The sequence below is a fragment of the Homo sapiens genome, chromosome 12 (genome assembly GCF_000001405.40).
Source record: "Homo sapiens chromosome 12, GRCh38.p14 Primary Assembly".
NCBI classification, from domain to species: Eukaryota; Metazoa; Chordata; class Mammalia; order Primates; family Hominidae; genus Homo; species Homo sapiens.
Window position 1 is genome coordinate 109,381,511 of NC_000012.12, and position 27,316 is coordinate 109,408,826.

The 27,316-nt window shown below is 42.2% G+C and overlaps 1 protein-coding gene across 3 annotated transcripts in view, besides 1 other annotated feature; it reads left to right on the forward strand.

Annotated features, from left to right (window-relative positions):
- MYO1H (myosin IH) overlaps positions 1-27,316 on the forward strand; it is a 137,912-nt gene that overhangs the window by 71,043 nt on the left and 39,553 nt on the right. For 2 of the 3 annotated variants that reach the window (XM_011538223.3, NM_001101421.4), the window contains 9 exons: positions 7,173-7,334; positions 11,821-11,936; positions 14,874-15,072; positions 16,222-16,302; positions 19,583-19,762; positions 22,472-22,570; positions 24,412-24,525; positions 25,279-25,350; positions 26,284-26,403. In XM_011538223.3, the coding sequence (XP_011536525.1) occupies positions 7,209-7,334; positions 11,821-11,936; positions 14,874-15,072; positions 16,222-16,302; positions 19,583-19,762; positions 22,472-22,570; positions 24,412-24,525; positions 25,279-25,350; positions 26,284-26,403 (1,107 nt within the window). In that variant the 5' untranslated portion in view covers positions 7,173-7,208. Of the gene's footprint in view, positions 1-6,766; positions 7,335-11,820; positions 11,937-14,873; positions 15,073-16,221; positions 16,303-19,582; positions 19,763-22,471; positions 22,571-24,411; positions 24,526-25,278; positions 25,351-26,283; positions 26,404-27,316 lie in introns of those variants that run through there. The other variant, XM_047428738.1, reaches the window with a different exon arrangement.
- Positions 15,080-15,280: a silencer, noted in NCBI's record as "peak1943 fragment used in MPRA reporter construct". NCBI's record gives its function as "represses an SCP1 promoter by STARR-seq MPRAs in K562 erythroleukemia cells {active_cell/tissue: K562}" and the evidence as "EXISTENCE:reporter gene assay evidence [ECO:0000049][PMID:32103011]".

The window sequence follows — 27,316 nt, forward strand, 5'->3', positions numbered from 1 at the left end:
AGGTTAACTGTTGGCTGGGCGCAGTGGCTCATACCTGTAGTCCCAGCACTTTGGGAGGCCAAGGTGGGTGGATCACTTGAGGTCAGGAGTTCGAGACCAGCCTGGCCAACATGGTGAAACCCCGTCTCTACTAAAAATACAAAATCTTAGTTGGGTGTGGTGGTGCAAGCCTATAATCCCAGCTACTTGGTTCATGCCTATGATCCCAGCTACTCTGAGGGACAAGAATTGCTTTAACCCAGAAGGCGGAGGTTGCAGTGAGTCAATATCGCACCACTGCACTCCAGCCTGGGCAACAGAGCAAGACTCTGTCTTAAAAAAAAAGTTAACTATCATGGCATGAAACATAACCAATACATATAAACCTTTAATTTGTAATGATATTAAAAACTCATTGTCACCTTGGGAGGAAGCAGTGGAACCAACTCATTATTCTGAAAACTAGCAAATCAAACATTTATCCTGCCTTTCCCTTGCAAACTGTACCACAGGGCAACCAAACAGTTAATAAGGGAAATTTCTCTTTATAGAACAGTCTCATCTAATAAATGAAGATGGTTTGATAGAACTGGAATATCAAACTCCTAAGAAAATGTGGATTTGGGTAGTGTGTATCAGAAAACACTGACATCCTGAAAAGACAGCCAGCCCTCATGTGTCTCCTTCTGGAAGTATAATATGCTGCCTATGAAGTCTTTTTTTTTGCCAAAACCAATCAATCTTGTATCTGATTGGACCTCTAATTCAAACAACCAGTTTTCAGGAAATGCAGGAGAAAGACAGACATGTTAAATGACTCCTTAAGAATGCAATTAACAAAACCTAGAATGTGAGAAATTCTACAAGACAGATTGTCCAATTTTCTCTATGAATAAATTGCAAGAAAGAAATGGAGGGAACCTATAGAACAAAAGAGACTTGAGAGACACATTGGCTAAATGCAATGTGTGGACCTTGTTTGGATCCTGATTTGAGCAAACCAATTGTAAAATATAGATATAATTAGAGAAATTTGAACATTAGGTATTATAATTAGTATTAAGGAATTATTATGGTATTCTTTATGATAATGGTGTTGTGATTACATATAGGTATATAAGTGCATGTATAGTTTTAGAGCTCCTATGTTTTAGAGATACCTACTAAAATATTTATACATAAAGCGATATAATGTTTTGTGATTTACCTCGAAATAATCCAGTGCTGGGGGAGTAGTGAAACACAGCTGGAATAGGGGAAGGCATACGTTCATTGTTGAAGCTGTGTATATTGAGTTTGTTGTACTTTTGTTAGTTTTGTGTATGAGAACTTTTCAAAATATCTTTATATATATATATTTACAGGAAAAATATATTTTAAAAATATGAATTAAAATAATGATATATATAAATAAATATATAAATATATAAAAAATAAATATAAAGAAAAGATGAAGTAAAAAATAATACTGGCAGTACACAGACAATGACAATACATGTGAAGGAAGTGCTCAAATGATGGTGCTTGGGCAATAAAGGCTCGGGGGCTATGCAGTGGTTTGCAAACTCTCTTCTGCCCTAAGCTTTCCCCAGAACCTCTCCCATGTTTCTGTGGGGCAACCCAGTGAAACTCTCACCCCCTACTTCAATCAGAAAGGTCTGCTTTCCTCAATTTTACATATTAAGGTTTCTTATAACATTTCCCTTGAACAAAGGATTTTGACATTTCAAATAAAATTCAAAAATGACAGCTTCAAGGCTTATCATCTACCCTCTTCTCCCCTTAAAAAATAGCCCTTACTCTTCCTCCAGAACTTTAGGGTAGTAGCCAAAACAGCTGGCCAAGTTTAACATGGGAGAACTGTGGCTCACATTCAAACTGCTGTCCTCCCAGTGGAAAAGTTCTGTTCCGCATGTGTATTAGTCAGGATAAGCAGTCTTCAGCTACAATAACAAACAGCCCCAAAACTCAGAAGTTTCCCATAACAGGAGTTTATTTCTTACGTACACAAAGTCTACTGTGGGTGTTGATGACTCTTCAAGACATCTCTCCTCCATGTGATGGCTCAGGAATCCAGGCTGTTTTGATCTTGTGGCTTGTCCATTCAGCAAAAGAAATTCTCAGTCATTGCAGTATCAAAGAAGTTCTAATAACACTGGAAGGGTCTTACACAAATGTCACTTCTATTTACAGCCAGTTGGCCGGAAGTAGTCAAGCAACTCCACCTAACTGCAAGGGAGTTTGTAAATGTGGGGAAGTCCACGGAATAGCTGGCAGGCATTTCTGCCTCTACCATGGCATCTCACCACCTTTCCACATACTGTGGCCTCCCTGTCATCTCCCCACCCCGACTCCACATACTGGGTCAAGCATTAGATTATGTAGAAGATGATCAGATCATCACTGAGTACATGATACTTCCAAAATGATGGTTCTGGTTTGAGTGTTTCCTTGAATCCCCTGCTTTTAGATGAGCAACAGGTCTAAACCATCCAAGACAAAGAGTGGCTTGCTGCAGAGGCTGCAAAATAATGTCCTGCAAGGGTAAATTGTACGACAGGACTGGGTATGTAATTCCAAACTTCTGACTTAAATAATCGGAAGTTCTGGCAACACAGGCCCTATATTTGTGCCTGATGTCAACCAGCTGGAGCCAGACAGTAGCTACACACCAGAGATGGCCATTCATTCCTGAGTCTAACCCAGTCCCCATCACCTGGCAGCTTGACTCAGTCATGGTACCTGCTGGAACCCTGTAACAGGCAGAATCTGTGATCCCTGCACCATGGTTATGCACAGTTAGGATCCTCCACAGTTTTATCACCCCAAAGATGGAGTTCTTTCTTAGATGTAACTTAATTTGATTTAATTTAATTTTCTTAGGTGTAATTGAAGATCTCTTTAATTTCCTCCCTCTTATTTAATCTGGATTTAATGCTCTCTTTATAAGTCTCTTAGTCATCTTTTTGGTCAAGGCTGAATCACTCCAACTTCTTGATTACCCTTCTCCTTTATGTCCCAATATTCATCCCTTTGATGGTCCATGTCACTCTTATTGGGACACTCTCGTTTTCTCACGCCCTTTAAAAGATAACTGGAAATCAACAAAGGAATCGAGGTGTCAGAACTGAAATATTGCAATAAACAAAACTCTAGTCTGAAGTGAATGGAGTCTGCTTTGACCCTGGCAAGTTAAAAATCATTGTCATGTTCCTTAATCTACAAGGTTTTGTCAAATTTCTTTGGGCTTCAAGTCACATCAGTTCCTAGGCTGACTGCAGGAGTACCCCACCCTCCCATCCTTAGGACCAGGCTAAGAGAGAAATTTGGTTAATCTCTGCATCCTCCACCTGCAGCAACCTGACTGCAGTAATATTTCTGGGTGCAGCTCCAGACATTATTTCAGACACCAACCCACCTCCAATTTAATAGAGGCTCATTGACTCCTAATCAGCAGACTTGCTTTACTATGTTTCTATTTCTAATAATCGTGATTATTGATACTAATGATGACAAAAGCAAGCACTCACTAAATTTAAATTGTGCCTGGCAGGGTTCCATGTGCTTTACATGGTTCTGGTGAAACTGACAACCCTATGAGGTAAGTACAATTATAATTCCGTTTTATAGAGATGAAACAAGAGACTTGGGACTCTCCCAAGATTATACTGCCAGGAAGCAACAGAGATAGGATTTGAACTTGGAAATGCTCGTGTTCCAACGTCTTAATCATTATGCTATGCTATATGTGGTACAGCATGGAAATATTTGGGATTACTAAAATGTTTCTTTTTTTCTTTCTTTCTTTTCTTTTTTTTTTTTTAAGACAATGTCTCACTCTGTTGCCTAGGCTGGAGTGTAGCAGTGCAATCATGGCTCATTGCAGCCTCAGCCTTCTGAGGTTCATGCGATCCTCCCACTTCAGCATGAGCAGCTGGGACTACAGGCACGCACTGCCACACCCAGCTAGTTTTCATATTTTTAGTAGAGACAGAGTTTCAACATGTTACTCAGGCTGGTTTCAAACTCCTGGGCTCAAGTGATCCGCCTGCCTTGGCCTCCCAAAGTGCCAGGATTACAAACACGAGCCTACCACGCCCAGCCTGAAATCACTAAAATATTGTTTGATCTAAATGCATTGTTTTGAATGTTAGGTTGCTAGTGATTAAGGCTCTTCTAGCTCCATTTGGCTAGTGTAGGGAGACATCTGGTGGCCATTCTGTTTTTTAAAACTTTTTTTATGGAAAACTTCAAATTTATGCAAAGTAAACAGAATAGTATCATAAATCCCCCTCTACCCACCACCTAGCTTTAACAATTAACATTCTGCCATTCCGTTTATATTCATACCTCCAGCCAATCCCTACCTCTTCCCCACTTATTTTTTACGGTTGTTTTTCAAAAATAAAATTTACATATAGTGAAATGCACACAATTTTAACAGTTTATCTTGACCGATAGATATACTCATGTAACCCACAGCCCTATCATGATATGGAATGTTTTCATCACTCCAAAAATGTCATTTGCCTGACAACTCCTCAACTAGGCAACAATTGTTCTGATTTTTCACTGTGGATTAGTTTTGCTTGTCCCAGTGTGCCATATCAATGGAATCCTACAGTACGACTCTTTTGTGTCTGGGCTCTTTCACTCAGCATAATGTCTGTGAGAGTCATCCATGCTCTTGCGTGTACCCGTTATTTCTCTTTTATTGCTGTCCTCCTTCTATTGTACAGATGGGCCACAGCCATTCTCCAGTTGATGGGGATTTGGATTGTTTCCAGTTAGGGGCCGTTCTGAATAAAGTTGAGCATGAGTTGAACTTCATGTTCAAGTCTTTTTGTAGACATATGTTTACATTTCTCTTGTGTAAATACTTAGGAGTGGAATCGCTGGATCAAAGAATAGAGGCATGGTTAACTTCATTAGAAACTGCCAGATCTTTTTCCCAAAGTGATTCTCTTTGCATTCCTACCAGAAGTGCGAGAGAATTCTGTCTGCTCCGCATCCTCACCAGTATTTGGTGTTGTCAGTGTTTTTAATTTTAACTATTGTGGTGGTATCTCATTGTGGTTTTAATTTGTGTTTCCCTGATGACTAACAATGTTGACCATTTTTCTATGTGTGTATTGCCAATTTGTCTATCTTCCTTTGTGAAGTGTCTATTCAAGTCTTTTGCCAAATTTTCATTGGGTTTGTCTTTTTATTATTGGACTGTAGGTGTCTTTTATTCTGGATACAAATTCTTTGCGTCTGTATAATTTAGGAATATTTTCTGCTGTTCTGTGACTTGCCTATTTTCTTAACAGTGTCTTCTAATGAGAAGCTTTATATTTGGTGAAGTCTGATTTCTTATTTTGTGTCTTTTATTATTATTTCTTCCTGGCTCTCATCTAAGAAAACTTTGCCTTCCCCTGGTTACAAAGATGGTCCCCTTGTTTACTTCCAGTAGCTTTATATAGATTTTAAATTTGCATTTAGGTCTAAGATGCATCTCAAGTTCGTGTGTGTGTGTGTGTGTGTGTGTGTGTGTGTGTGTGTGTGTGTGTAGTGTAGTGTAATGTAATATAGGGACTGAAATGCATTTTTACTTTCTTTTTCTATTTATATATTTTTAAGTAGAGATGGGAATCTCCCTGTGTTGCCCAGGCTGGTCTCCAACTCCTGGCTTTAGACAATCCTCCTGCCTCAGCATCCCAGTGTGCTGGGATCACAGCTGTGAGCCACCACACACAACTGCAATTTTTTTTCTTTATAAATATCTAGTTGTTCCTGCACCATTGGATGGAAATGTTTTCCATTTCTGTGCTGAATTGTTTTGGGACCTCTACTGAAAATCAATTGAGACGCAGTCTTATTAAACACAGTCTTATTCTAGCTTTGTTTTTCTTTTGCAAGGTTAATTTGGCTATGCTAGGACCTTTGCATATCCATATGTACCAGTTGTCAATTTATTGCCTCTCAGATCCAAATTCACCCTTCATTACCTGCTGAGCAATAACCAACTGCACGCTTTAGGCATTTCTCCTTAAAGTGAACACAATGTCATTTTTGTCACTAGAGGGCACTGGAGGGACATTGCAAAGGCAGGCCGCTTCTCTTCCTGATGTCCTTTGCTATGTTTTGCTTTTTCTTGTTTTCAGACTGTACATTCTGCTGCACGTGGTATGTGGGGGGGACACACACTAACCGTGTGCCCAGAGCACATAGTCTCTCAGTGACCTCACAGCTCTGGCCAAGGGCCTGGTGACCACTTTGTCACAGCCCTCCTGATGCAGACATTACACACTCCAGGCTTCATACCTACTCCTGTTCCCTCTCCCAACGCACACCTGCCCTCTGGCCGCAGCTTGCCTGAGCCCTGGAAGGTTGATTTCCTTGGCCCCCTCCATGGTCTCCCATCCAGCAGCGCGGGTGCTCAGGAAGGTCATGCCTGGTGCCTGCCCAGTGACCGAACCAGCTCTGGCCCTGGTATCCTGGTGAGATTCTTTGCCATCCAATGGGCTGTAGCCACACCTTCTCCAGTGACATCTGAAGCCCATCCTTGGAGAGGAACACTCCAAGTTTGTCCTTCCTTAAATATTCCTCTGTAGCAAGAATTTCCCTTTCTGGCCCAAACTCCTCACCACCCATGTGAGAATTACAAAGTGAGTTTACACAATTAACACTTATTGAAATAAAGAAAAATTAATTTTAAAAAAAGAAAAAATTCAAGCTTGACTAATCAACATAAAGGAAACATTAATTTAAAAAAAACATTTATTGAGTCCATGGTTGTCAGGAAAGCAAGTCTGGGTATGTTGTCTAGGTTCATTTTCTGGCTGCGTCTTTTGGCAGATTTTGGGCGTGGCTTATGACATTCCTATGCCTCAGTTTTCTCATCTGTAGAATGGGCATCATAATAGTATTTCATAGGGTCAGAATGAAGATCAAATGAAACAGTATAAGTCAAGTGTTTAGAATAGTACCTAGCAGTAAATACTTGGTTCCTATCAGCTGCTGCTATTCCTATTTTTTATGATTATGATCTTGTATCCCCAACCATATTGTAAACTCTAAGTGAAGACGGCATAATTTAATGCTGGCTCTCTACTATCCCAGGGTTTAGCATCTTGTTATTTCCATGCATTAGACGTGTAATAGATATTACCAAATAGATGAGCTGCTGAAGAATGTTCTATTTCCCGTAGAAAGAAGACGTGAGGAGGAAACACATCCGTCTGCACATGGAAGGGGCGCTGACTGCCCGGGACAAGGTCGGGGTTCAGGATTTTGTGCTATTGGACGCGTACACCAGCGAATCTGCCTTTGTCGACAACCTCCGCAAGCGTTTCAGCGAGAACCTCATATACGTAACGTGACCCACTTCTCAGCTGTTTTTCTAGGGTGGTTGTTCCCTTCTTGCCTTCACGACTTTGATGAGTGTGAATAATAGCACTCTATTAGGTTAGACATTAAAGGGAGATACTGAGGCGCCACTCTTAGATGCACTTCGATCCTTTGTGCTAAGACGTTTATGGCTGCCCGTGACAGAGACCCAACTTACACCAGCCTAAGTCACTAAAAGGAATCTGTCCATGTCTGTTACTGTAGGTCCCGGGACTAGATCTAGGGTTTCAGACAATGTCTGGCAACTCCTTCTCAATCTCTGCTCTGCTTTCTTAGGCATCCATTTCTTTCTCAAGTGCATGGCAGCAAGATGGCTGCCCTCAGATCCAGGCTGTCATTTTATCAGCTCAGGGTTGCTGCAGAGAAGCGAGCCAATACTCTGGGGATAAGCTCTAGTAAATGGCCCAAGTTGACATTGATCAGCTCTGATTGGCCCACTTTCGGTCATGTGCCTGTCTCTGAACCAATCCCATGGCTAGAAATGAAGACTATTCTGATTGGCCAGGCTCTTACCAGGCCTGCCCCTGAAGGTGAGGGGTGGAGTTGGAGCCCTGGACGGTATAGGCAGAGAGCTGGGGAAGAGGGTTCCCCAAAGGACTCTGTTGGGAGAAAGGGGCAGAGATACCAAGCAGGCAAAAATAAGAGCTGTCCACCACACCCCACGAATGGTCAAGGGTCGAGAATGCAGCACTTACCAAACTCTTCTCAGATTGATCTTGTCACATCTAGTTTTTATTCAAAAGCTAGTTTTCGTTAAATTCCCATTTATCACCATACTCTGATTTGAGGGTCGTTTTTCAGGTAAATTCCTCTAGGGTAAACTTCATAGTGTCCCTGTGTGTGTCGTGGGTGTTATTAAAATTATTTAATTTTTTGAGATTTTATTAGCTTTTTGCTAAGAGTAAATTAGACAGAAGTGGTTTAAAAATAATTGTCTTATAGCTATTTTGTTTGTAATGCTGCTCGTGACTTAATCTATATGTTGAAACCAAGGATACCAGAAGAAGTAAACAAGGTGTTTCTTAGAGTACATATCCTAGAGCCTAACTTTCATAATTATCACCCTTAATTGTAGAAATAGAAAAACTAATTTTATGTACAGGAAAAGGAAAAAATAGCATGGTACAGAGAAGTACAAATGGCATGACAGGATCATTGCGATTAAGCTAAATGTTTCTGATTTGAACGGATACATTTCAGAAACTGTCTTCCACCCTGAATTTCTACTGATTGAAGTAATATGGGGTTTTATTGAAACTTCTCTGCTTTGGTTCTCTGTTTGATTTTTGTCCTGGAGATTGGAGAACGATTTTAGCGTAATCTTTTTTTCTTTTTTTTTTTTTTGAGTTGGGTCTTGCTAAGTTGCCCAGGCTAGTCTTGAACTCCTGGGTTCAAGCACTCCTCCTGCCTCAGCCTCCCACGTAGCTGGGATTACAGGCACACACCACCACACCCAGCTATTTTAGCATAATCTTAATATATACTTTAGTGCATCCTGTATTTGAAACAGCTACACACTGAGAATCTGAGAATACCAGATGTATTTTCCAAGGAGTATATTAATTTTTTTTCTATATAAGAGCTTGGAGCTCTTTGTTTATTCATAATTGTATTTCAAAAGCCTATGTTAGTGGTTATATTATAAATATAAGTAAGTACTTGAAAAACTTGAATATGAGTAGAATTTAATGTTGAAATCTAGGAATATAAGTGCCAGTAGCGGGAGTGTTTTGCCCAATTTTAGGAGGTTTGTAGGTATACCCATCCTGTTTTCTTGTTTGTTTGTTTTTTTTTTCTTTTTCATATGGAGTCTCACTCTGTCGCCCAGGCTGGGGTGCAGTGGCCCCGATCTTGGCTCACTGCAACCTCCGCCACCCGGGTTCAAGCAATTCTCCTGCCTCAGCCTCCCAAGTAGCTGGGATTACAGGCATCCGCCACCACGCCTGGCTAATTTTTTTGTATTTTTAGTAGAGATGGGGTTTCATCATGTTGGCCAGGCTGGTCTCAAACTCCTGACCTTGGGTGATCCACCTGCCTCAGCCTCCCAGAGTCCTGGGATTACTGTGCCCGGCCCACCCATCCTACTTTCACTCAATGCCAGAGAGACCTTTAAGAACCATAAATCAGGTTTACGTGCTCCCCTCTTAAAGTTGTCCATTCATGTGTAATAGTTTAGGGAGGTATTTCTCTTTTTTTGTATCTTCAACTTTTAACTTCAGGGGTACATGTGCAGGATGTGCAGGTTTGTTACATAGGTAAACGTGCTGTGGTGGTTTGCTGCACAGATCATCCCATCACCAAGGTATTAAGACCAGCATGCATTAGCTATTCTTCCTGATGCTCTCTGTCCCCCGCAACAAGCCCCAATGGGTGTTGTTCCCCCCTCTCCCACAAATGTGTCCATGTGTCCTCATCATTTAGTTCCCACTTATTAGCAAGAACACGCAGTGTTTGGTTTTCTGTTCCTGCATTAGTTTGCTGAGGATAATGGCTTCTAGCTACTTCCATGTCCCAGCAAAGGACATGATCTCGTTCCTTTTTATGGCTACATAGTATTCCATAGTGTATATGCACTATATTTTCTTCATTCAGTCTATCATTGATGGGCATTTGGGTTGATTCCATGTCTTTGATGTTGTGAATAGTGCCGCAGTGAACACACGTGTACATGTATCTTTATAATAGAATGATTTATATTTCTTTGGGATTGCTGGGTCAAATGGTATTTCTGCCTCTAGATCTTTGAGGAATCGCCACACTGTTTTCCACAATGGTTGAACTAATTTACACTCCCACCAACAGTGTAAAAGCCTTCCTTTTTCTCCACTGCCTTGCCAGCATCTGTTATTTTTTTACTTTTTAATAATCGCCATTCTGACTGGTGTGAGATGATATCTCATTGTGGTTTGGATTTGCATTTCTGTAATGATCGGTGGTGTTGAGCTTTTTTTCATATGATTGTTGGCTGCATGTATGTCTTCTTTTTGCGAAGTGTCTGTTTATTTTCCTTTGCCCACTTTTTAATGGGATTGTTTTTTCTTGTAAGTTTGTTTAAATTCCTTGTAGACTGGATATTAGACCTTTGTCAGGTGGATAGGTTGTAGAACTTTTCTCCCATTCTGTAGGTTGCCTGTTCACTCTGGTGATAGTTTCTTTTGCTGTGCAGAAGCTCTTTAGTTTAATTAGATCCCATTTGTCAATTTTTGCTTTTGTTACAATTGCTTTTGGCATTTTCATCATGAAATCTTTGTGGGGCAGGTATTTTATTTCAGTAGGGGAGTGTGGTATCTCTGCCATCCACTGCATTTAGAATAAAACCCCAATTCCTCGTGGGAGCCCACGGAGCCTGTATGATCTGAGCCTGCTCCATCTTCGACATCCTCTCTTGCTAGTCTCCATTCTGCCCTCACTCGGGCTTCAACCACAATGGCCTCTCATGCCCCTAGCCTGCCTCATGTATCCCTTCAGCCTGAAATGCCCTTCCTGCCTACTTTGTTTACAGCTGGCTCCTCATCCTTCAAGCTCTGCTCAGGTGTCACCTCCTTAAAGAAGTCTTCCCGGCCAGGCGCGGTGGCTCACACCTGTAATCCCAGCACTTTGGGAGGCCGAGGCAGGCAGATCGCCTGAGGTCAGGAGTTCAAGACCAGCCTGGCCAACATGGTGAAACTGCATCTCTACTAAAAATACAAAATTAGCTGGGGGTGGTGGCGCATGCCTGTAATCCCAGCTATGGGAGGCTGAGGAGAATCACTTGAACCTGGGAGGCAGAGGTTGCAATGAGCCGAGATCGAGCCACTGCACTCCAGCCTGGGCAGCAAAGTGAGACTCTGTCTCAAAAAAAAGAAGACGACTTCCCCATGCCTGCTAATATGGCCTGCCTTTATTGTTTGTACCCTCGTTATGCTATGTATACCTTTCTTTTTATTTATTTATTTAGTTAGTTTTTTGAGTCAGAGTCTCGCTCTGTCACCCAGGCTGGAGTGCAGTGGCTGATCTCGGCTCACTGCAACCTCCGCCTCCTGGGTTCAAGAGATTCTCCTGCCTCCGCCTCCCGAGTAACTGGGACTACAGGCATGCACCATCACACCTGGCTAATTTTTTGTATTTTTAGTAGAGATGGGGTTTTACCATGTTAGCCAGGATGGTCTCGATCTCCTGACCTGTGATCCACCCGCCTCGGCCTCCCAAAGTGCTGGGATTACAGGCATGATCCACCGCGCCCGGCCATGTACACCTTTCTTAACACTGATCTCTTCCTGCAGCTGTCTTCATTCCTCAGCTGTTTGTCTGCTGTCTCCCTCATACACCTGCCATGTAAGCTCCCAGCAGAGACCCCGCCTGATTTATCATTTTAAATCCTCCATGTGGAATGAACACATGGGGATCATCATGTGTGACAGTCTTTTGCACCCCAGAATTCCTCACTTGTGCTTTGGTCCATTTCTCTAGACATATATTGGCACCCTCCTTGTGTCTGTGAATCCATACCAGGAGCTCGGAATCTACACTGTGAGCCAGATGGAACTTTATCAAGGGGTCAATTTCTTTGAACTGCCACCACATGTGTAAGTAGCATCCACAGGATCATCACTAGGAGGATTTTTCTTTTTCCCCTTCCTCTCTCTCCTTCCTTCTCACCACGCATCTGTCCATCCATTCATCCATCCATCCATCCATCCATCCATCCATCCATCCGCCCACCCATCCATTCATCCACCTATCCATCCACCTATCTATCCATCCATCCACATATCCATCCATCCGCCTATCCATCCATCCATTTACCTATCCATCCACCTACCTATCCATCGATACATCCATCCATCCATCCATCTAAATCCTTGATGCATGTTTATTAGGTTCTGTACCTCATTTAAGCCCTTGCCTTCTTGTGAAGTAAGTATTCCAAAGTAGTAGAAAACTTTAGAGGGTCTTTATGGAATCTCAGCTTAAATATGAAAAGAGGTGCAACCTGTGTGTAACTGCTGAGAAATTTAAGTGTGGCTGGAGAGATGTCTTCTCCGGGAAGAGGGTTGCTATAGTGCCATCTACTGGTGCCTGAGTGTCATAGCGGCTAAGAGGACTGCTCGTTGGTAGAAACTTCCCAGGGCTGTGGAAGCTTAAGAGGTGCAAATTTCTTCATTCCTCTCCCCTATGTATAACCTATGGTAATAATAATTTGTAGATGGTGATTATATTTTTAGTACATAACATTTTCTGTTTTATGCAAGTTTTTGAAAATACATACTCGCCTGCAGTATGGCCAGAATTTGTTTTTATGTAATACTATAAGCTGACAGGGTAGAATTATTCACCTGAACTCAGATCTCTTGTCTCCAAACACCATGTTTCCTTCTTAACATGTAACTGACTCTGTAAAAACAATCTGTTTAGATTTCTCATTTAATTCAGAAGTTAATTAAAAGGGACTGAAATAAAAATTTGCATGTAGTTAGAGATTACTGGTTAGTTACACATTAATTCAGAGTTTCTAGAGCCATTTCACAGAAGCTAGAAAATATAACCACCTTGATATCAGTTTTCACAAACTTGAGTACGTTTTTAGGCCTTAAAACCTTACCATTTTAAATAATTTCCCTTGTATTTGAAAATAACATATAACCCATATTTTCTGCTAAATAATGCCATTTGTTTGTCACTATGCCTGATTGGCCAAATGTTCTAATAGTTATTTAACATTCAAAACAATGACTACCAAAAAAAAAAAAGGAAACTTGAGCAATTTTTTCTTGCCCAGGCTTTGCTGAATTTTCTAGTTTTTCTCCCTCTTGACTTCTAGGCTAATATTTAGATTCTGCCTCTGTTGTCTTGGTGACTCAGCTATTCCACTTTCTAAGTCACTTATAAGCCTTTCTGCATCACCACCATATATATGTTGAGACAGGGTCTCGCTTTGTCACCCAGACTGGAGAGCAGTGACACAGTAATGGATCACTGCAGCCTCCACCTCCCAGAGCTCAGGTGATCCTCCAACCTCAGCCTCCTAAGTAGCCAGGACTACAGGTACACACCACCACCCTGGCTAATTTTTGTAATTTTTATAGAGACAGGGTCTCAGTGTGTTGCCCATGCTGGTCTCGAACTCCTGGGGCTCAAGCGATCTGCCTGCCTCAGCCTCCGAAAGTGCTGGGATTACAGGGTGTGAGCCACCATGCCCAGCCACCACCATGTATTAAAAGCCGAAATGGCTTTGGAACTCTGCCTCGTATTCAGGTTATATTCCTGGGATACCTTCATGCTTTGGTGTCTGATCTTGAAGATAAAGCACTTCTCATAGTTTTACCTCTTGTCCTAAAGATATCACTGAAGTTTGTTAATCTCTTTGGTTTCCTGCCACTCCATTTTTAGTATTCTAGGTTTTGAGGGAAAAAATACATGAGATCTTACTCTATTTATTGAATTGAATTATTTAGTATTTAGACAAGATTGTTATTTTCATCTAGAGTTAATAGAACGTCTCTTGGAGATGTAACTTAGTAGCTGGCTTATTCTTATAAAACATGTTGATGGATTAAAAACATAAATTTGGTGAACTTTAAAAAATATTTTCAGGCCAGGCGCGGTGGCTCACACCTGTAATCCCAGCACTTTGGGAGGCTGAGGCAGGTGGATCACGAGGTCAGGAGTTCCAGACCAGCCTGATCAACATGGTGAAACCCCGTCTCTACTAAAAATAAAAAAATTAGCCAGGCGTGGTAGTGCTGCACTTATAATCCCAGCTACTCGGGAGACCGTGGCATGAGAATCGCTTGAACTTGGGAGGCAGAGGTTGCAATGAGCTCAGATCGTGCTACTGCACTCTGGCCTGGGCGACAGAGCGAGACTCCATCTCAAAAAAAAAAAAAAATTCTCAAATTCTTCCTTTTAGCTCTTCTACTATTTGAGTTTTGATATCTAGTACACTCTATATTTGATTAGTCAGTGGGTCGTGGTAGAGGATTTTTTGTTTTTTTGTTTTTCGGGTTTGGGTTTTTTTGTTTTGTTTTTTGTTGGTTTGTTTTGTTGTTGTTGATGTTGTTGTTGTTGTTGTTTTTGAGACAGAGTCTTGCTGTGTTGCCCAGCCTGGAGTGCAATGGCATAATCTCGGCTCACTGCAACTTCTGCCTCCCGGGTTCAAGCAATTCTCCTGCCTCAGCCTCCCGAGTAGCTGGGATTACAAGCATGCACCACCATACCTGGCTAATTTTTGTATCTTTTTTTAGTACAGAAGGGATTTCATCATGTTGGCCAGGCTAGTCTCGAACTCCTGACCTCAAGTGATCCACCCGCCTCAGCTTCCCAGAGTGCTGGGATTACAAGCATGAGCCACTGTGCCCCGCCTATGGAAAGGGTTTGATATGTGTTTGAGCTCATTGTCCTTGTACCACAGTCTGGATGTGGCTTCCTGGAGATGGAGCACCTCATTTTTCTTCTTTGGTGGGTGTCAGAGTCAAGGGAAGTACCATTAAAACGAATTTGTTTCCGTCTCACTCCTCCTCCAGCTACGCTATAGCCGACAACGCTTACCGAATGATGTGTGCTGAACTAAATAACCATTTCATCCTCATTTCTGGAGAGAGTGGGGCAGGGAAAACAGAGGCCTCCAAGAAAATTCTCGAGTATTTTGCAGTGACCTGCCCAATGACCCAGTCACTACAAATAGCCCGTGACAGACTGCTGTTCTCCAACCCAGTGCTGGAGGTAAGCGATCTCTGGGGACCAATCGAAGGGAGTTCCAGGGAGGTCACTAAGTGAGACAAATCCTGTCTGGGCAGGTCAGTCAAAATGGGCAGGTCACTGTTAAGAAAAGAGGTCACACAGATAGTGTCACAGTTAAGGGTGTGACCTGGAACTAAGCCCATTTCCCCATTTGTTGAATGGGTCTGCTTATAGTACCTACCTTTTAAGACATTTGGTTTTTGTTTTGGTTTCGTTTTTTTTTTTTTTTTTTTTTTTTTTTTTTGAGACGGAGTCTCTCTCCGTCACCCAGGCCTGGAGTACAGTGGCACAATCTCGGCTCACAGAAACCTCCGCCTCCTGAGTTTAAGCAATTCTCCTGCTTCAGCTTCCCAAGTAGCTGGCACTATAGGCACGTACCATCATTCCCAGCTAATTTTTGCATTTTTAGTAGAGACGGGGTTTCGCCATGTTGGCCAGGCTAGTCTGGAACTCCTGACCTCAGGTGACCTTCCCTGCATCAGCCTCCCAAAGTGCTGTAATTACAGGCGTGAGCCACCACACCCAGCCTAAGAAGTTTTGAGGCTTAAGTGAAACAGATGCACAAAAAACACACAGCAGAATTAGGAAGCACCAAAAATAATGTATTATTTATTAATAGTTTTCTTATTATTGAGTTAAAATTATTTTGGTTATGATTACTTCCACTATTGCAATTCACTGACTTGCTGAACAAGTCATTTTCTCCTGTGTTTTTGTGGCCCTTTCTATAAATGAAGATGTTTATAGTTGAAGGAATTTTCCCAGTGGACCCTTTGAGCAGAGCAACGGTGGTATAAAAAGGGGTCTGGTGATGGGGGCTGTCCACTGTACCTTCTAGAACAGCATGGGGCTAGGGTTCTATGTACCCCTCCTGAGACCATTTCCAATATATTCCTAATTGGATTCTAGGAAGAAGATATTGTTCCCCTTTTCTCCCCGGGTCCAGATCTAGTGTTTGGCATTAAATTCTCTGTAGTTAGCGATTCCTTCTTAGAAGATAAAGCATGCCTTTCCTCCCTGGCTCCTTCCGCTCTCTCTCCTCCATTTTTGTAATAAGTGTATTATTTGGGGTCAGGAATTTGATACGCATGGTGAGCTTAAATGACAGTGAATGACACTTTGTATTCCAAGGCTTTTGGAAATGCCAGAACGCTCCGGAATGACAACTCCAGCAGATTTGGGAAATACATGGATATACAATTTGATTTTCAGGTACACTGAAGCTCCTATTACTGGTTCATGGGGACCCCTTATTTTGCCAGTGACGGAACCCAAGCCAAGGCCCCTTAAGGGGAGAACGGCATTTTTTGGCTCAAGCTATTTAAAAAAATATCCAGGGTTAGTGCTGGTTTTAGGAAATGCAAATTAAGACCACAATGAGATAACATTTTATACCATCTGGATGGGCAAAAACTAAAAAGTCTGATCTATACCAGGTGTTGATGAAGATATGGATCATAAGGAATTCTTACACATTGCTGGTGGGGTGTAAAATATTGGAAAATTATTGGAAAATAATGGGTTGTACCAGAGATATGATGCTATCTTAAGAAGCTGAAAAAACATAATGTAAGGTGCAACCATTCCGCTCCCAGAGATATCGCTACAGATGCGTAAGCATGTCCATAAGAGCACTGCTCATCATGAGCAAGTAAACGGACTGAACAGCACCAACACATCTGGGGAGAACTGAAATGTCCATCGACAGGAGAACGACTACACTGTGGTGTGTTCACACCAACAGGCATTACACTGCAGAGAGCAAATGAACCACAGCTACACCTCATGTGGATGGGTCTTGGGAACATACTGTATGCCAGCATGATATCATTTTTTCCATTAAGCTTAAAAACAAATCACAAGGGCCGGATGCAGTGGCTCATGCCTGTAATCCCAGCAATTTGAGAGGCCAAGGTGGGTGGATTACCTGAGGTCAGGAGTTCAAGACCAGCCTGGTCAACATTGTGAAACCCCATCTCTAAAAAAAAAAATACAAAAAATTAGCCATGCATGGTGGTGTGCGACTGTAATCCCAGCTACTCGGAAGGCTGAGGCAGGAGAATTGCTTGAACCTGGGAGGTGGAGGTTGCAGTTGGCACCACTGCACTCCAGCCCGGGCAACAAGAGCGAAACTTCCTCTCAAAAAAAAAAAAAAAAAAAAAAAAGACACAAGTAAACAATATATTGTTTAGGCATGCCTGCTTACCTGGCAGGGGCCAGCACTCTTTTTCGGATACAGCCAGATAGTAAGTATTTTAGGCTTTGTGAGCCATTCAGCCATACAGTCGCAATGACCCAAGTCCAGTCTTGTAGCATGAAAGCAGCCATGGACAATGCGTAAGTGAATGAGCGTAGCTGTGTTAGACACAGAAGTGGGGCTAAGGCAAGCAGGAAAGGAAGGCAGAATTCTCAAGGGCTCATAATTCCAAGCGGTAAAATGACACATGGGGGAGCAGCAGCTGTATGAGCACGGAGCTCAATGTTCAGGACAAACTGGCTAAAGGATTTCCCAGAGGCTGGGATGTGGGCCTCTGGTGGAGTGGATTTGGAAAGAAATTTAATAGCTATGCATATTTGAAAATTTTTTTGAAACTTCAACACATATACTGAAAAGGCCGTAAAACATGAGGATAGCCCAGTGAATTTCTACGTATGTGTCCACCTCTGTAACCACCACCCAGATCAAGACATAAAAATTTCTAGCATCCAGGCCAGGCCTGGTGGCTCGCACCTGTAATCCCAGCACTTTGGGAGGCCGAGGTGGGCAGATCACCCGAGGTCAGGAGTTCGAGACCAGCCTGGCCAACATGGTGAAACCCTGTCTCTAATAAAAATATGAAAATTAGCCGAGTGTGGTGGCGCACACCTGTAGTCCCAGCTACTCAGGAGGCTGAGGCATGAGAAACACTTGAACTTGGGAGGCAGAGGTTGCAGTGAGCCCAGATTGTGCCACTGCACTCCAGCCTGAGCAAGAGAGTGAGACTCTGTCTCAAAAAAAAAAAAAAAAAAAAAAAATGCTAGCATCTGAAGGCCAGGCATGGTGACTCACACCTGTAATCCCAGCACTTTGGGAGGTCGAGGTGAGAGGATTGCTTGAGTCTAGGAGTTCAAGACCAGCCTGGGCAACATAGTGAGACCCCCGTCTTTACAAAAAACAAAAACAAAATAGTAAGGCGCAGTGGTGCATGCCTATAGTCCCAGTTACTTGGGAGGCTGAGGTGGGAGAATTGCTTGAGCCCAGGCATTTGAGGTTATAGTGAGCCATGATCAGGCCACAGCATTCCAGCCTGGGCAACAAAGCAAGACCCTATCTCTTAAAAATTCTAAAATCCAAAAGCTTTTCCTGCCCTTCCCCAACACACTCCCCCTTCCCACTGCCCACTGTTCTGACCTCTGTGATCACAGGTTCATTTCACTGGTCATTGAAGTGCATATGAATGAAATTACACAGTATGTTCTATTTTGTGCCTGGCTTCTTTCAATCAACGTATCTGTCAGATTCATCCATGTCCTTGCATGTAGCAGTTGTTCACTTTTTGATTATATGACTATGTCACAACTTATCTGTTCTACTTTTGATGGACATTTGGGCTGTTTGCAATTTAGGACCGTGACATATAGCACTTTGAACATCCTTGCACATGCCCTTTAGTAGATTTACATTGGATTAAAGAAGTGGAATTGTGGGGTTCTTACCAGCAAAGCAGTGTTAGGATAATTAATGATGGTTCCGGTTGCTCCATACCCTTGCCAACATTTATATTCTTCATCCTTTTGAGAAATTCTGGTGGGATATAGTGGTTTTTCACTGTGATTTAAGTTTGTATCTCCCTGGTGATGAATGACATTTTGCTTCTTGGCCACTTAAAGGCTTTCTTTTTCATTCAAGTCTTTTGCCCGTTTTTAATTGGGTTGTCAATTCTTTCCTATTGATTTGCAAGAATCTTTATATATTCTGGAATAAAAATCCTTTATTGGATATATTATTGAAAATATTAATTAAGACAGTGTGATATTGACACAAGGATAGATAAAGAAGACAATGGATCAGAATAAAGTCCAGAAAGGATAGAGTTCACATGTACAGTCAGCTGATTTACAACGAAACCATCACTATGATTCAGTAGAGAAAAGATCATCTTTCCAATAAATGGCACAGATCAACTGGATATCAACATGAATAAAAAGACCTTTGACCACTACCCCTCTGCATATACAAAAATTAAATAGTGAGGGATCATTATCCTAAACAATCATGCTTCTAGAAAAAGACATAGAAACTATCTTCATGATAGTTTCTTGGGGTAAGCAAAAATTTTTGTAAACAGAACCCAGGAAATACTAATGACAGAAGATTGATATGTCCAAAAAAAAGAAAGAAGATTGATCAGATCAGACTTCATTCAAACTTAGAACTTCGGGCCATCAGGAGATGCCAGGAAGAGAGTGGTTTGATTGTTGTCACTGCTGCAATTTTTGTTCTGTTTTGAAGGGCATTCCCGTAGGTGGGCATATCATCAGTTACTTGATAGAGAAGTCCCGAGTTGTCTACCAAAACGAAGGCGAGCGGAATTTCCACATCTTCTACCAGCTGCTGGCAGGTGGCGAAGAGGAGCGCCTGTCTTACCTGGGACTCGAGCGAGACCCCCAGCTGTATAAATACCTCTCACAGGTGGGAAGGACCAGCACCTGGCTTTGGTGACTCTTTGGAGCAGGGGATCAGAGATGTTTCTACGTGCTGCTGTAGGATGTTTGAGACATTCTATTACCATCCTGCTATGTGTCCTATTGGCTGATTTCTCCATATATATATCACAAGCAATCTAATCCATCTCCTCTTATGCCTGGCAGCTATATCACCTTGGTAAAGTAACCAATGTCTAGGTAAGTGGTTCTCATCCCTGGCTGAAACTAGAATCACCTGAAGAGCCCTTTAAAAACACAAATGCCTGGGCCATACCCTCCAGAGATTCAGATTTCATTGGTCTGGGTAGGACCTGGGCATCAGAATTATTTTAAATGTCCTCCTGGTGATTTAGCGTACAGCCAAAGTGAGGAGCGCTGATCTGGATGTGATAGAAACTCACTGTCCAACTATGCCCCAAACCTATGCTATCTCATTCTGCTTTCAAACTACCTTTTTTTTTTTCTTTTTTTGGGACAGGTTCTCACTCTGTCCTCCAGGCTGGAGTGCAGTAGCATAATAATGGCTCATTGCAGCCTTGACCTCCTGGGCTCAAGTGATCCTCCCATCTCAGCCTCCCAAGTAGCTAGGACTACAGGCGCGAGGTACCATGCCTCGCTAATTTTTGTAGTTTTTGTAGAGACAGTGTTTCTCCATGTTGTCCAGGCTGGTCTCAAACTCCTGAGCTAGAGAGATCCGCCTGCCTCAGCCTCCCAAAGTGCTGAGTTTACAGGCACGAGCCACTGTGAACTACTTTTGAAAAGATCTTTTCCCGCATTCCTGCCTTCCACCTTGACAAATGTTTGCTGCCAAATGAACACACCACCTTACAGAAATAGTTCAAGCTATTCCTATAAACAAGCCTAGAGTCTAGTGTTATAAAATTGACTGTCAGAATATAACCCTGCAATATTTGTTTTTCTGCAGCCTGCACTAGCGTCCTACAATGCCCAGATTGTAAGGCACGTCTCAGCATTTGATGTCATTAACACCTTTTTAGTCCCAACATTTTTTTTATTTTTCTCTTCTCACTTGGCCTGGCTTTGAATGGAGGCCACCTTGTAGAATGTAGATGAAGGCATCATTTAAGAGAGAAAATGAGGTCTTATAAAATGAATCTCATAAAATGAGGATCAACACTTTCTAGAAATCATGGAAGAAAAGAAGCCTTGACAAAAGTTCACCTTGAAAAATGAAGGCAGGCTGGGGCACGGTGGCTCACACCTGTATCCCAACACTTTGGGAGGCCAAGGCAGGAGGATCGCTTGAGTCCAGGAATTTAAGACCGGCCTGGGCAATGTAGCAAGACCCCATCTCTAAATGTATTTTAAAAATAGAAATAAGAAAAATGAAGGTAAATAGTGAAAAGAAAGAATCTCATAATCTAATTTTATACTAAGCAAACTCAACTAATTACTAGAACAAAGAATAAATCAAATGTGATGTTTTTTTCTTTTTGGAGGGCTTAATTTTCCCAACAAAGCTGTATGGTCGCATCATGATTGTATTCCCATAGCATGACCAGAAAGGGTCAATTTGTAAAAATATTTGAGGCCTCATCCATTTTCCCAAGGGCTTCTCTAACCCTTTGATAAATCCTTCTCTTTTAGAATATATCGTGTCTTTATTCCTGTAGATTTTTTTATGGCCACATTAATTCAACTAGATCTTTATACATCAGGGGCTTTGGAAATGGGTCTAGCAATTTGCCACTATTATTTTAAAACCAATTTCATGATCTCTCATAACTTTGGTAAACTTTATGGCTTCACTCTGCAGTATATTCGCACTGCTTTCAAACCAACAGGTTTTGGAGAGGGACTGATTTGCATAAACCCATCCCTTCAGGGACAGGAGCAGATGTTGCTGGTTGTGCGGGAAGGTTTGTGAGGCTGCAAATTTTATATCGGCCACTTTAAGTTTTAGGGTACATGTGCACAACGTGCAGGTTAGTTACATATGTAAAAAAAAATTTTTATATCGGTCACTTCACTAGGAAATATTTTCATGGTATGACACATCTGATTTCCCCCATGCAATGAAGAAATCTTTTAAGAAAACAGATCTTCAGATAATTAGGAAACTAGGAACACCCTGTACCACAAAAGCAAAATAATACAAAACATTTGTCTAGAATGTTTTCTCTTTAAATCAGTCTGTTATTTAAAAGACAACTTCTGGAGTTCATGGGGAAAATCTCTGCTTGTGATCATTTTCACAAAACCTCTGTTTCTCTAAATGCTAGCCTTTTATTTCCTTGCAGGAAAGGCTTCTTTCATCTAGTCCTGCAGTGAAATTTTTGTTGGCAATCTCTAAGTGAGTCAGGAGTTTCTGATTTTAAGCACTTTAATATTCCTGCATATTTCAGCAGATATTTCTTGAGACAAACAGCTTCAATTTATTTAGCAAAAATGATAAGAAAACTATGTTTAAAAACACATACAAAAAGATACACCACTTACATGTAACTTGGAATGTTTTCCCAGAACAGAGATTTTTAAACAAAATTCCAAATAAATTTGAAAAAAAGCAACAGTTGTCAGATCATTACATGCTAGACAATTAGAGTAAAACCTATTTTTGATTCGCAATTCAGTACATTATATAGGACTAGCTTTTGCATCTTCAGAGAGGAATAGACATGCTTAATTGCCCCTATAAAAATGACATTAAGTGACTCAAACTTTTTGTCAACAGGGTCATTGTGCCAAAGAGTCATCCATTAGTGACAAGAATGACTGGAAAACTGTTTCCAACGCCTTTTCTGTCATTGATTTTACTGAAGCTGACCTCGAGGTACGTGCTTTTGCAGCAGAACTGATAGTTCCCCCTGGGACTGAGGAAACATTCCTAATTTCTTGGTGTTTGCAGAATACAGTGGCCAAATTCAACAAATAAAAATACAGGATGCAGCTGGGTGTGGTGGCGCACACCTGTAATTCCAGCATTTTGGGAGGACAAGGCGGGCGGATCACTTGAGGTCAGGAGTTTAAGACCAGCCTGGCCAACATGGTGAAACCCTGTCTGTACTAAAAAAAAGTACAAAAATTAACCAGGCGCGGTGGCAGGCACCTGTAATCCCAGCTACTCCGGAGACGGAGGCAGGAGAATCGCTTGAATCCGGGAGATGGAGGTTGCAATGAGCCGAGATTGTGCCACTGCACTCCAGCCTGGGTGACAGAGCGAGACTGCGTCTCAAAAAAACAAAACCAAAAGCAAAAATACAGGATGCCCAGTTACATATGAATTTCAGATAAACAGTGAAGAATTTTTTAGTATAATCATGTTCCAATTATTGCATGTGGGCAAACTTATACTAAAAAATTAATGTAAGTTTGAAATTCAAATATTAACTGTGGGTTCTTTTATCTGGCAACTCTAAGTTTTCCTAATATTGTGTGCAAGGAGGAAGAGTCAGTTTTTTTTCTCCTGTAAAGTAAGTCCAGTCTCAACAATTTAGGTGCCATAGAATTACAAGATTCTCATTTATTGAGGCTTCTGTTTTGGTACAAACTAGAACAAATTGTAGAATTTATAAACAATTTGTTTTTACATCTTTTTGTCTTTTTTTTTTTTTTCATTTTGATTGTTAAACTATCAGTCTTTCAAGGGCCAGAATGTAATTTAAAAACAGCTGTATTTGAAGCCAGGTGCAGTGGCTCACACCTGTAATCCTGATGCTTTGGGAGGCTGAGGTGGAGAAATCACTTGAGGCTAGCAGTTTGAGACTAGCCTGGGGAACATAGTGAGACCCTGCCTCTACAAAAAAATTTTAAAAATTAGCTAGGCATGGTGGTGCATGCCTGTAGTCCCAGCCACTCAGGAGGCTGATGCGGGAGGATCGCTTGAGCCCAGGAGGTTGAGGCTGTAGTGAGCTATGATGGCACCATTGCACTCCAGCCTGGGTGACAGAGCAAGACCCTGTCTCTTAAAAAAAAAGATAGATGGATGGATAGATAGATAGATAATGTTATTTGAAAATTAAGTGCGTTCATTAGTGAGGTTTATTTTAGAAAGTATTTTATAAATTATTTTTTCCTCTTTTGAGACAGAGTCTTGCTCTGTCGCCAGGCAGGAGTACAATGGCGCTATCTTGGCTCACTGCAACCTCCGCCTCCCGGGTTCAAGCAATTCTACTGCCTCAGTCTCCCAAGTAGCTGGGACTACAGGCACATGCCACCGTGCCCAGCTAATTTTTGTGTTTTTAGTAGAGATGGGGTTTCACCATGTTGGCCAGATGGTCTCGATCTCTTGACTTCGGGTGATCTGCCCACCTCGGCCTCCCAAAGTGCTGGGATTACAGGCGTGAGCCACCGCGCCCGGCCATAAAATATTTTATAAAAGTGTTTTATTTTATGAAAAATCCATTTATGTATTTGTTGTTGTTATATGAAAATAAAGTGTTTCCTGCTGGACACTGAATGAGGCTGTTTCCCTCTTCCCTTAGCACCTGAAGTGAATAACAGGGCTGATTTCTGAGGAAGCAGGAGGGCTTGGTTCTGTGGGCTCAGGTGTGGAATTGGGACGGGGGCATTTTTCCTTCAGGTGTCTCCACTAATGACATGTATCAATTAGGCGGCCACCGTTCTCTTTCCCTGTCCTGATCTCCTGTCTCTGAACACTTCCCATGTTCCTAGAATCTCTTTGGAATTATTGCCAGTGTCTTACACCTGGGGAACATTGGTTTTGAAGAAGACGACCAAGGCTGTGCCACTATCCCAGACACCCATGAGATCAAGTGGATAGCCAAGGTGATGCTCCTCTTTTGGAGAGGACAGAAGGAGGGGGATGGGTGGGAGAGAAGAGCGAGGTAGCTGGGTGCCCACAGTTAGGCCCAAATATCTGGTGCCGTGCTGTTTTGGCTGATATTGGTTAGGAGGTTTAAAGAGTGGGGGTTTGAAGGAGAGGGCAGGAGTAAAAGCCAGTTGGTTGAGGGAGCTATTGTGGCCTGTTTTGTAATAACGCACAATGATCAGTCTGGGCAGATAACCCTGGGCCTGGATACTCTATGAACTCTTTATAAGTTAGTGAGTAGGCCGGGCGCAATGGCTCATGCCTGTGATCCCAGTGCTTTGGGAGGCCAAGGCAGGAGGATCGCTTGAGGCCAGAAATTCAAGGCTGCAGTGAGCCATGATCATGCCACTGCACTCCAGCCTGGGCAACATAGTGAGACCCTATCTCTTAAAAAAAAAAAAAAAAAAAAAAAAAAAAAAAAATTAGCTATGAATGGTGGCACACACCTGTAGTCCCAGCTACTCAGGAGGCTAAGGTAGGAGGATCACTTCAGCCCGGGAGGTGGAGGTTGCAGTGAGCTGAGATTGTGCCACTGCACTCCAGCCTGGATGACAGAGTGAGACCTTGTCTGAAAAAAAGTTACAATGAGCTATGATTGTGCCACCACATTCCCACCTGGGTAACAGAGCCATACCTTGTCTCTAAAAAAATAATAAAAAGCAAGTAAAACTGCGTCACTGAATAGCATTCTGGATTTCTTTTACATGCAGCTCCTGGGGGTCCACCCATCAGTCCTTCTGGAAGCTCTCACCCACAGAAAAATTGAAGCCAAAACTGAGGAGGTAAAAATGGCTATAGGTGGAAATGTGCCAGCCCTCCCTGCTGCTGCTGCCTCCCTCGATAACAGCAGGGTGGTGGCCTCAGGGGAGGCCAAACCTTTGATCCTAGCTCACCAGGCCCTGCGTGGTCCAGCTCCTGTGGAGTGTCCTGCCTCATCTTCCCCCATCACCATCACCACCACCACACCAATGCTAGCAATCCACACCTCATACTGTCTATGTCTTCCCTCCACAGGAGTCTTTGCACATGCTATTCCTTCTGCTGGAACACTGTTCCCGGTGCTTTATCTAGTTAACTCCTCTTCATCCTTCATTTCCTGGGGGTCACTTCCTCAAGGAGCCTTCTCTGATCCTCCCACCTCTACGTCAAAGCACCCTATGTATCTCTTGTAGCCCTTTCAACATGACTGTGATTCTTTGAATGTCTCTCCATCCCTCCCTACCCTCAAATGAACTGTGTGCCCATGAAGGTCAGGACTGTGTGTCTGGGTTACAGCTGTATCTCGGCAGCCCAGCACAGTGCCTGGCACACATGGGCACTCAAGAAAGAGCCATCATATGAACCAAAGACAAGAGTAGCATCTTCCCAGCATGTATCCTTTGCCAGTCATCATTAAACACTAGTTCAAGACTGTGTGTGGTGGCTTATACCTGTAATCACTTTAGGAGGCTGCAGTGGGAGGATTCCTTGAGCCCAGGAGTTCAAGACCAGCCTGGGCAACATGGCTAGACCACATTTCTACAAAAAAAAAAAAAAAAAAAAAAGCGAGGCATGGTGGTGGGCACCTGTAGTCCCAGCTACTGCATTCCAGGCTGGGCAGCAGAGCGAGACCCTGTCTCATTATTTTATTTTTTTTTTAAGAAAAAAGACTTCTTTGAACACTCTGGGGGCTTCTTTTTTCCACCTATAATGATGCACCTTGTCATTCTTTTCAGGTGATCTGCCCGTTGACACTAGAACTCTCTGTCTACGCTAGAGATGCAATGGCAAAGGCTGTTTATGGACGAACGTTTACTTGGCTGGTCAACAAAATCAATTCCTCCTTAGTTAACAAGGTTGGTCAACGCATTTTGGATCCCTTGCTCTTGCTCACGTGGTGATGTTTTATAATCATCGTTTCTTTAAAGAATTTGGGAGGGAGAATGAACTGTGGGCGCCTCATGGGCAGAGATGGTGTCTTTCCCTATTCACATTTCCCATGTCTAGCATACAGTATGGGTGCATGCCGAATGACTTATACAATGTGTTCCAAAGCGTGCTGTGCATAGTGCTTGTGGTATGCCAGATAGCTTCAAGTGTACACAGAAACTTTTTATTTTTTATTTTTATTTTTAGAGACAAGATCTTGCTCTGTCACTCAGGCTGGGGTGCAGTGGTGCAATCATAACTTGCAACTTCCAGCTTCTGGGCTTAAGCAATTCTCCTACCTCAGCCTCCCAAATAGCTGGAACTACAGTTGCATACCACCATGCCCTGCTAATTTTAAAAAAAAATTTTGTAGAGATGAGGTCTTGCTATGTTGTCCAGGCTGGTCTCAAACTCCCAGGCCCAAGCCATCTTCCCACTGCTGCCTTCCTAAGTGCTGGGATTACAGGCATGAACCACCACAAATCTTTAAATTTCAACAGTAATATATTCACCTGACATTTTAAAAATTTCAACAGAAGCATATTTTAACATATTTACGAAAAAATATAGCCCTTGAAACTCACGCTTCAGTCACGTTTCCTTTTCAAGTGGAATTATTTAAATAAAAAAGGGATTTAATCCAAGCTAAAAATTAAGAAATGATACATGGATGGGGAGGGGATATGTGGATGTGACAAAATTCATGGAGGTAGGACACAAAAGATGATTTTGGAGGCAGTGACTTAGGACACTCATACAGAGTATTTAATTGTGTCCCTTTAAAACTAAATAAATACATTATCTCTTTTTTATTTTTTTTTGAGACGGAGTCCCACTTTG